Source organism: Homo sapiens, chromosome 11 (genome assembly GCF_000001405.40).
Source record: "Homo sapiens chromosome 11, GRCh38.p14 Primary Assembly".
NCBI classification, from domain to species: Eukaryota; Metazoa; Chordata; class Mammalia; order Primates; family Hominidae; genus Homo; species Homo sapiens.
Window position 1 is genome coordinate 118,214,720 of NC_000011.10, and position 10,913 is coordinate 118,225,632.

At 43.5% G+C, this 10,913-nt stretch overlaps 1 protein-coding gene across 2 annotated transcripts in view; it reads right to left on the minus strand.

Moving 5' to 3' along the window:
* The window catches only part of JAML (junction adhesion molecule like), a 31,287-nt gene extending 20,995 nt beyond the window's left edge, over positions 1-10,292 (minus strand). Inside the window, exons 1-2 of one of the 2 annotated variants that reach the window (NM_001098526.2) lie at positions 10,222-10,292; positions 105-167 (exon numbers count right to left, since the gene is read on the minus strand). In NM_001098526.2, the coding sequence (NP_001091996.1) occupies positions 105-147 (43 nt within the window). In that variant the 5' untranslated portion in view covers positions 148-167; positions 10,222-10,292. The remainder of the gene's footprint in view (positions 1-104; positions 168-10,221) is intronic. The other variant, NM_001286570.2, reaches the window with a different exon arrangement.
* Between the last annotated feature and the right edge of the window lie 621 nt (positions 10,293-10,913).

Genomic DNA, 10,913 nt, shown 5'->3' on the forward strand with positions numbered 1-10,913 from the left:
TCAACAAACCCAAGGGAATCGAAAATATGTAAAATTGGCTTTTAATAATGCACAGAACTCAGGAGAAATCAAATACCCCACGGAGTCCCTTAGCTTCTACTTACCCAGTAACACTGGCAGCAGGATGAGTTTCAGTGGGCAAAACATGCTGCTCTCAACTTTCAAATCTTAAGATAAAAGAACAAAAATCACAAAATCATGTCAAGAGAAGCTCATTAATTTAAAAAACCAATAGTGAAGGACTATACGGAGCAGCCTCTGTTTGAGACACTGGTATGCAGCATTGAACAAGAAAAACAGACGAGGTCCCAGCTCATTTGCAGTTTGTATGCAGCGGGAGGTGGAGAAAAAAGAAGCAAATAAATGAATGAATGAATAAGAAAATACCAGATGTCAATAAGTGCTATGATGAAACAAAACAGAGTAGTGTTTGAAGAGTCACTTGGGGGCTGCTTTAGATTGGCCATAAGGGAAGATTAGATGAAAGTTGCTTTTCAAGAGAAAAAAAGCAAATGATTGCAGGATGCCCTTGAGATGACAACCCTAGATTTTCCACTACCTGTATGTTTCACACAAACAAAAAATTATAGGATATCCAGCCTGAAATTTTTCCCCATCTCTCCACCTAAATTAGAATTACTACTTTTTTGGGAGGAAGAGGTTGGGGGAGGGAACAGATTCTCACTCTGTTGCCCAGGCTGGGGTGCAGTGACGTGATCTCCAGGGCTCAAGCAACCTTCCTGTCTCAGCCTCCTGAGTAGCCGAGACTACAGGCATGCTACACCACACTTGCTATTTTTTTTTTTTAAGTAGTAGAGAGGTCTCACTGTGTTGCCCAAGCTGGTCTCAAACTCCTGGGCTCCAGTGATCCTCCACCTCAGCCTCTCAAAGTGTTGGGATTACAGGCGTGGGCCACTGCACCTGGCCCATGGTGCACTTTTTATCTTATTTTTCTTTTTAACTTTTTAAAGGCAGGGCAGTGTGGCTAGAATGAGAGTTGGGCTGTGCATTGGACAAAAGTATGTGTTTGATATGCATGTTATCTCTGTAGTATTCATTTCATTGCATTTACCAGCCCCTGGAAAAGGATTCACTGTTCTACCAAACACCCCCAAATTTTCTTAGCTAAACAGAAGAACCCTGACTCTCAGGAGTTACAGTGCAACCAGTCTTGAGTTCCCACCTGCTACTGCTCCTGGCCTCAGCCGTGGTCTTTACCCCTGGCCACCCTGCCGCTGGGGAGATTCCACCTCAGAATCTGCTAAGAGGAAAGATATGTTTTTTGCATTAACAGCAAGGTACCCCACCCAGCTCTGCTAGGACATCTGGCACATACGGTAGCCATTTTAATTAATAAACATTGATTACTTGGCCGGGCCTGGTGGCTCACACCTGTAATCCCAGCACTTTGGGAGACCAAGGCGGGCGGATAACGAGGTCAGGAGATCGAGACCATCCTGGCTAACACGGTGAAACCCCATCTCTACTAAAAATACAAAAAATTAGCCGGGCATGGTGGCGGCCGCCTGTAATCCCAGCTACGGGAGGCTGAGACAGGAGAATGGCGTGAACCTGGTAGGCGGAGCTTGCAGTGAGCCGAGATCACGCCACTGCACTCCAGCCTGGGCGACAGAGCGAGACTCTGTCTCAAAAAAAAAAAAAAAAATTGATTACTTAAGACATTCCTTAATCGTATTCTCCAATCAACAAAATCCTCTACCTGGAAAATCAGAGTCAAGCTATTCAAGGAGGTTCCTACCTCAGGTCCCACTTACACAGAGAAGTCAGCTGATCTTGCTGAACCTGTTTCCTTGCCTTTAAAAGGGATTGATAATGAAAGGATCTAATAGTATAACGTAGATAACAGTGCTTTGAAAATAGGAAGCATTACCATGGAAGATTCTTTATATAGATAAGAGTCAGAAACAGAGTTTGTAGCTTTAGGGGAGATTTCAGGTTCTGAGCTTCTACCTTTCTAAGAATGGCAAATGATGAATCAGAATGAACAGGAAACTTAAGTTTCCATTTTTGAACCTTGTTGTAACAATGGGGATAATAATTACACTGAGCCAGATATATCAGGAGTCACATAGATTCCCCTAAACAAAAGAACCTCTAGTGAAAACACAGACCTCTCTCAACATAAGCAAAACCCCATTCCTGCTCCGTGCCACCCACCTTGCCCCATACATACATGGATGAAGGTCATAAGGGGCTTCCTTTATGGTGTGTCCTAACATAAGTTCATCACATCTGGGACATCTGTTGCCTTCCCCAGGGAGTTGGTTGTGCTCCCTCCTCTGCCCAGAAAACAGCACTTAGCAGTGGGACATTCCCCCTGCAGCTCACCAACCGCATGGAGGAGTAATGACTAATTTATATGTCTGCCACCAACTCAAGTCTGCAGACTCTAAAAGGCAGCACCATACGTGCCTTATTTAGATGTGTGTCCTGTTACCGTGGGGCAGCACCGGCAAAATGCCTGGCATATACTGGATAAATGCTCATAGCTGACAATGTGACCATTAAGTTGAAATCAACTTAAAGGCATCTTGCAGCAGTCCCCGCTCCACTCTATTCTAAGAGGAAGCCAGCGACTCTAAAAAGATTCTGAATCTTGGCACTAAAGCCGAGTAACTCAGAGCCACATCCAAACCATCTTCAAACAAATGCTAAGAAACATGAGTATCATGAATGGAAAACGCTCATTGTCAGTCCTACATACTCGGATGCACCTCTAGAACTCCGTGAAGACAGAAGCAATGATTTTAGCGGAAAAATTACTAAAAGTTTTTTTTAAATGCTCTTCTGGGCTCAGATCTTCCTTTAACCAACTCTTTGATCTTTGGGAAAATCACCGGGCCTTGTTTTCAATATTAAAAGATCAGACCTTTTTCTTAATATAGCAGCACACTAGAAATCAGTAGTTGATGTGTAATAAAGCAGAGAAGGTTAATGCCAGGCCCTGGGTGCTTTACACAGTAACTCATTTAATCCTCACAACAACCCCATGAGGTTTTACAGATGAGGAAATGAGGCAGAGAATGACAATGTGACTTGCCTAAGAACACAGAGCAAGTGGCAGAGCGAGGATTCAAACCCAGCCATCCTGGATCCGAGCCTGTGTCTTTGCCACACTATGCTCTTCCTCCACATTTGAGAAAGTAATCAATATTTTAGAGCAAAGCTTTTCTGAAGTTTATTTGTCTAAACAAGATTAATCTGTTCCTCCTGACTGAATGGTCTACCAATCCACCTTGCTCAGGCCTTCACCCAGTTAACACCTGCTCCTCGCTCACATCTCAAGTTAAATATCATTTCCTCGGGAAACCTCTCTTCAACCACTCATCCCAGGACAGGTCCCCAAGCCACATGTCTTTTTTTTTATTTTGAGATGGAGTTTCAGTCTTGTTGCCCAGGCTGGAGTGCAATGGCACGATCTCAGCTCACCGCAACCTCCGCCTCTCGGGTTCAAGTGATTCTCCTGCCTCGGCCTCCTGAGTAGCTGGGATTACAGGCATGAGCCACCATGCCTGGCTAATTTTGTACTTTTAGTAGAGACAGGGTTTCACCATGTTGGCCAGGCTGGTCTCAAACTCCCCACCTCAGGTGATCCACCCACTTCAGCCTACCAAAGGGCTGGGACTACAGGCGTGAGCTGCTATGCCCGGCAGCCACATGTCTTAATAGTACCTCTACCTTTCCTTTAGGGCATGGGCCACTATGTCTAATTATCTATTTATTTGTGTGCTCATTTAATTAAGACCCTGCTCTCTACCTCCACCCCCAAGACTATAAGCTCCATGAAGCCAAGAGCCATGCCCATGAGCCACCACACTTCCAGTGCCAGCATGGTGTGAGGTACGGGGACATCCTCAGTAACTACTTGTCAAATGAGTTCATAACACCTTGGACATTTACCAAGAACACTATTCAAGTTTGAATTTCCTAGTGAGTTGACAGATATTTGCAAATTCCTATCTATATATTCACCAACACCCACAAATTCTGAATTTTATATATACATATTTAGCTGAATAACAAAATTCTGGTTGCATATGTAGATGAATAAAATGAATTTCAGTTTTAAAAAAAATCCAGCAAAAGCATTCAGAAGCACCTTAAGCACCTTGATAATAGACACCATTGACATTCACAACTTCTACACTGCTTCCTTCTCTTTCCAGATACTGATTTATCTCCTCAGCAGATGTTTGGAGATAATTCTCCATAGTAAGTTATCTCATCTGTTGGCCAAATATTTTGACCTGAGCTCATGGTTCTTTCACAGTATAAATTCTGGCAAATACCTTCTGTCCTTCTAGGGGGTTATAACTATCAGGATCTTCTTTTCTATTACTAATAGTGTATGGGGGGTTAAAAATGGGCAAATGGTCTGAACAGACATTTCTCAAGAGAAGACATACAAATGGCCAACACATATATGGAAAAAAATGTTCAATATCAGTAATCATGGAAATGCAAATCAAACCCACAATGAGTTATCATCTCATACCAGTTAGGGTGGTTATTATCAAAAAGACAAAAAAACAACAAATGCTGGTGAGGATGCAGAGAAAAGGGGACTCTTATACATTATTGGTAGGAATGCAAACTAGTACAGCCACTATGGAGAACAGTATGTGTGTAGTCCTGTTAAGTAAGCAACAATGAGGAGGGGTCCCAGCTGGGGAGGACCCAGGTGAGGAAGAACAATGAACAACTGTTCTGAGACATAGCTAATCAAACAACCTGAGGGCACAATGACTTCTATGGGCACAATGACTTCTTTCACAGGTAGCCCCCTCCAGCACCACCCTATAAAACTTCCCTTCAGCCCCTGCCTCTTTGCAGACAGTGCCTTCTCTGCTGTGCTGCCCATTACAACCTTGCAACATGTTTTCATACCTTCTCTAATAAATCTGCCTTTCTTTCCTATGACTGTCTTGGTAAATACATTTGCTGCCGGTGACATCGGCCCTAGCTAGTCACTACCCGCAACATTTTGGTGATCCAAAAGGGGATTGCTTGGGGACCTCTCCCCTACTCTGTCCCTTGCCTCTCCAACTCCACTATCTCAGTGAACAGCATCCAAGTTTGGAGACAGCTGAAGGTCCTGGCCAGGGCTGCTCCCTGTGGACCAGAAGGTCCTGGTGAGAAGTCACCACCCAATCAGAGTTTGCTTTCCTTTTCAGTTTTCAACTGAAACAAACTCTAGTATCCCTCTGGTGACTTATGACAACTGACCAGGGCCACTTCCTGGTGTGGCCTGAAGGCCAGGGGCTGAAGAGTTTTGTCTGCCTTGCCCGGGAGAGAGGAAAACCCTCTCCTACCTTTTCTGGTCAAAAGTCCCTCTATGTGTCACAATTGGCACACATGGTTTGGGGAACTCAGACCCACCTCTTTCTCACTCTAAATTCTCCCCATGAAGACAGGCAAACCTCCTGCTCTGGATGTTCCCAAACTAGGTGAGCTCAAGCAACCTCAGAGCAGTGAGTCTCCCCATTCACCTCCCCTCTCCTCATACCTGAACCGATTATCCGGTGCAAGGCCCCAGTGCAGAGAAGTCTTTCTGATAGCTGGGATGCCCTTTAGAAAGTGCACCCAAGTCCATCAGTGGATGAGAGTGGAACGCTTTTCCTCAGCGAGAAGCCTCAAGAGAAAGCAGTTTGTGTCCCCAGCGGACATTAGCCCCCAGAGGTTGGCTCATCATTTTCCAGTCCCACCATGGGACAAATCCCATCTGTTCCTTCAGACTCACCTCTGCATTGCATCCTAAAACATTGAGACAAATTTAACCCTCAGACTCTCAAAAAGAAACATCTACTTTTCTTGTGTAATACAGCGTGGTCCCTATGCAAAGAATCCTCAACTTGGCCTCCTCGATCTTTTATAACCAAGAGCAGAATAAGGAGGCCAGGGCTAAGGAGAAAGAAAAATGCAGGGAAGAAAGGCAGGCTCAATTGTTGGCTGATTTAGAAGCCCTCAGCTCCCTCCAGGTTGCCCTAAGGACACTCCTCCAGGTAAGTGCCCTCAGTGCAGATGGCCAGGCCACTGGAAGGCAAACTGCCCCAATGGGATACATGGGAAAAAGCCCCGCACAGCTTGTACCCTCTGCCACAAGCTCAGCTGCTGAAAATGGGACTGTCCTGAGGGCTGAAAGACCCTGAGGACAGAATTCTAGCCCCTGATGGCCTTAAAATGAAGTGGGCTCTCTGCCCCCGCTGAATTCCAAATCACAGCAAAACAAAGCCAAGGGTGACTCTGGAGGTGGCAAGTAAAATTATCAATTTCCCCTTGAGTTCAAGAGCTCCCTGTCATAGAGATGCCTCCTCTACCCCTTTCTGGAAATACCTTTTGCTTATATGGTAAAAATCTGGAAAATCACTATCTGGAGTTTAACAGGCTTTTAGATTCAGTCACCATTGGAACTGAGTACACCATTAAAAGGAAAAGGCAAAATTAAAAGAAGCATGCGTAATAATTACATGGCTAGTCCTAGAAAGTTCTCTTGAGCAGTTAAAATCCTTTGCAAGCTTGAAATGCTCTAAACTCCTCCCGGAAAAAAACAACAGCAGTTATCTTGCACTATAGTTCACTGGTCCCCAATCTTTTTGGCACCGGGGACAATTTTTCCCCATGGAAAACAATTTTTTCATGGAAGACAATTTTTCCACAGACCAGGGAGGGTGGGTGATGATTTGGGGATGAAACTGTTCCACCTCAGATCACCAGGAATTAGATTCTCCTAAGAAGCATGAAACCTAGATCCCTTGCATGTGCAGTTCACCATAGGGTTCATGCTCCCGTGAGAATCTAATACCCTCGCTGATCTGAAAGGAGGCAGAGCTCAGGCAGTAATGCTTGCTTGTCTGCCCCCGACTTACCTCCTGCTGAGCGGTTCGGTTCCCAACAGGCCATGGACCAGTGCCAGTCTACTGCCCAGGGGTTGGGGACCCCTGCTGTAGCTCAACTGCTAAAGCTTTGCCCTCTCACAGTGGTGCCCTGGGTTCAATTCCTGGCTCCAAAAGTGAGTCTTTTGTGGTTTAATCATTTATTGATTCTTTTCCCCTCCATGGAGAGCTCCTAATTTCCTGTCTTGAAATTTTCTTTTCTCTGAGTTACCTTTGGGGCAATTCTAGATCTTGTAAATTGCTTACCATCTCTTTGGAGACACCTTGTGTGTCCCTGTTTAAGTTATCCCCTTACTTAAGGTTTATTAATTTCACATAGGAGGTTACCTTTAGGTAAAGATTCAAAAGCCAGAAATATTGGCCATTTGTCCTGGCTAAAATCTGGTAATAAAAGATTTTTATAGGATTTTTATTTTGAGAACTCCATAGTCAGAAATCAACTTAATTAAAGACGATATTTGGGCTGTATGTATACAGATATTGTTTTAAAAGCCCCTGCTGGCCAGGCACAGTGGCTTATGCCTATAATCCTAGCACTTTGAGAGGCCAAGGTGGACAGATCGCTTGAGCCCAGGAGTTTGAGACCAGCCTGAGCAACTTGGTGAAACACCATCTGAACAAAAAAAAAATACAAAAATTAGCTGGATGTAGTGGCAGGCACCTGTAGTCCTAGCTACTCAGGAGGCTGAAGTGGGAGGATCACTTGAGCCCAGGAGGCTGAGGCTGCAGCGAGTTGTGATCGCACCACTGCATTCCAACCTGGCGACAGAGCGAGACTCCATCTAAACAAACAAAAAGCCCCTGCTTTCCCTCTAAGAACTTCTCAGTCAATGGAATTTTGTCTTGATTTTCCATTTCTGTCTGTCTGTGTATTTATATGTGTTGTATGTATAGTATTTATATAAAAGAGCTCTAATTAATTGGCTTAAAGAAACTAAAATCAAACATTTTATCAGAAAAAATTGAAACTTTAATCTCTTTTAGGTCACGTGACTCTAATGATTTTTAAACATAAAGACAGTGTAAATAACATAAAAAATAAAGACAGTGTAAGTAAAGAATGTGTTTTGGTGGGAGGTTATAAGAAGGCGTGTGAATATGGTTTCTGTTAAAGAGAACGTAATTTTGTCTAGCTCAGAGGGTTTTAACTATTGGCCTCACCTAAAAGAGTAATGGGACAGCTGGGCATGGTGGCTCACGCCTGTCATCCCAGAACTTTGGGAGGCTGAGGTGGGGAGATCACTTGAGGTTAGGAGTTCCAGACCAGCCTGGCCAACATGGCAAAACCCCGTCTCTACTAAAAATACAAAAATTAATCAGGTGTGGTGGTGAGCGCCTGTAATCCCAGCTACTTGGGAGGCTGAGGCAGGAGAATCACTTGAACTCGGGAGGCGGAGGTTGCAGAGAGTCGAGATTGTGCCACTGCATGCCAGCCTAGGTGACAGAGTGAGACTCTGTCTCAAAAAAAAAAAAAAAAAAAAAGAGTAATGTGACAAAACTGATGGTTTAAGCAAGTTGAAAAGGGTTTGTGAAGGGTTAATCTCATGAAAAGTTCTGTGGGTATAAGCAGGTTGGCTAAGATTTAAAGGGGATTACTTAGTTTTTCCATAGGTCGAACACTGAAATAAAAGCACACTGATGTAGGGCCAGAATCCGGGCCCATGTGTCTGAATAATGGTTTTCTAGAGAATTTATTTGTTTAACAGAAAATTGTAAAGAATTATGAGAGGTTTGTGGACGTTTTACCTTATGGTCAAACTATGATTGTATAGATTTGTTTATAAGGTTTTATTAAGAATTGGATCTAACATTAATAATATACTAATGCAAAGGTGAAATTTTGCTTTCTCTCATAAACAAGATTTTTGCATAATATTTTAAAATAATGAGATTTTTGTTTACCTTTTAATAAACAACAGAAAAAGGAGGAGAGAGGAAATAGATTCGGTTGGCATCATGCTGTCTTTATTGCGACCTGCTTGGAAAGTTGACTCTCCCCTCTATCAGCAAGTAAAGATTTTTGCCTTTTAGAAATTTTGGAGTTATCATTTTGGCTACCTAAATGACTTGTAGTGACTCTATACTAATCTTCTCTGAGCAACTCTCCTCCATATCCTGTTGGGTAATGAGAACAAGTGGCACCCCCTCCCTCCAAAAAATCCATACCCCTTTATATTACAGAAAAGAAATCTTCAGAAAAGAGACATGCTACAATGAGACTACCATACAAGATGTGAAAGTTACCCCCCAAATTACAATATCATGAGACAAAATAAGGGAGAGCTGCTGTCTCTCAGTGTTTGTCCCTAGTAAGGACAACTAACCACTGAGCAAACGGACAACTGCACAGCCTTCTTTTACTCACAGAGTGTTGTCCACCTGCAGAGCCAAGTCCTCTCAATCTATCTGCACACTGCTGTGCACTTCTAGGCTCTCAGATGTTTTTAGGTCTACAAGTCCATATAACCACTCTAAGCCATGCGTCTTAAAATATGCCCTCATTTTCCATTGTTAAGCCATTGAATACAGACTGGTAGGTCACGTGGCTTCTGTAACACAGTCTAGGTCACATCGGTTAATGCTCTACGCGAATGGGACCCTGGAGGTCCTTACTCCTGCTCTCTTCTCCAGAGTAGGTTATACCTAAACCATCCTGCATCAGCCTTTCCCAAGGTCAGGGCTGTGCTGAGGGTGTAACAAGCATGGACAGTAGCCTAGCTTTCTTGGGAGATTTAAGTCTCGGGCTTCTAAAGGTTAAATATTGGTTTGTCTATAATGGGGAGAAGAAAAACAGTGGTATAACTATGTAAAATGATGGATATATTAATCTGCTTCACCATAGTAAACTTTTTACTATCTACATGCATCCCACAACATCATGTTGTATACCTTAAATACACACAATAAAATTTGTTTAAAAATAAAATTAAAAACTGTCTTCTAAAAAGAAAAACAGTGAAGAAAGAGCTCTGCTGTGAGCTCAAGAACAGCCAGTCACAGCTCCACCTAAACCCACGGGTGACTTAAAAGCTGAAGCCTTGTCATAATCATTGTCACGTACTCTTATTATGATGAAACTTTGCTCCTCTTTTTGCTGAGGAGATTCACCTAAGTTACTCTACACGACAGTAACTGAAACAGCACCCATTAGACTACTTTATGACATCCCCCTGCAGAGATCAAGAGTTCTGCAATCGCAGCTTCACAATCCTGAGAGACTACCAATTCAACCAGCCTTCAGGACTGGCACACTTCTGTGTGAGAAAAGTTCAAAAAATGGCTTAAGAAATTCAAAGCAACTGCTTACCCAAGATGAAGAGCACCCAGGGGAGGCAATGCACTGAAATCTCCCCACAGCTGCAGTCCCCAAGCTCAACTGAAAGACTGCTGCGAGCACTCTAGGTTAGGCTCAGAGCAAACCAAACACGTGCCTTCTGAAGTGGTTGCAGAGATGCAAACAGGAACCTCTAAATCAAGGTTCTCATTTCAGTCATCTGGCCCATTACCCAATTGTTATGTATACTTTCATTCTAAAAAGAGGTGACAAATTCAACCTACTGAGGTGAACCTCACACTCAGACCTCTTCAGGTGCCATCTCCCCTTTTAGATGACAAGCCCTCTGAGGGTAGGAGCTTGAATGGCACCAGGCAAATAGGTGCTGAGAAAGAAATCCATTTCATGCAAACAAAATACAATAAACGTAATATTAACACAAAACCTTCTGTGTTAAAGATACAGCAACCTCTTTTATTTTTCCTCTCAAAACAGAGGTGCAACCTCGCCAGGCAATCACCCAATCCCTGCTTCCAAAGATACGCCTGCCCAGTCCTCCAACTCACCATGTAGACATGAAAGTTTCCTCTGGCCATGTGATATCAGCATTTCCAGAATACAGGCAGCCATTGATTCCCATAGAGAACCTCTTGGGTGACTTGGACATCCTAGATTAGAACTCAAGGTTTCTTCACTTCAAGATACCTCTCAGTCTTAGTCACCAC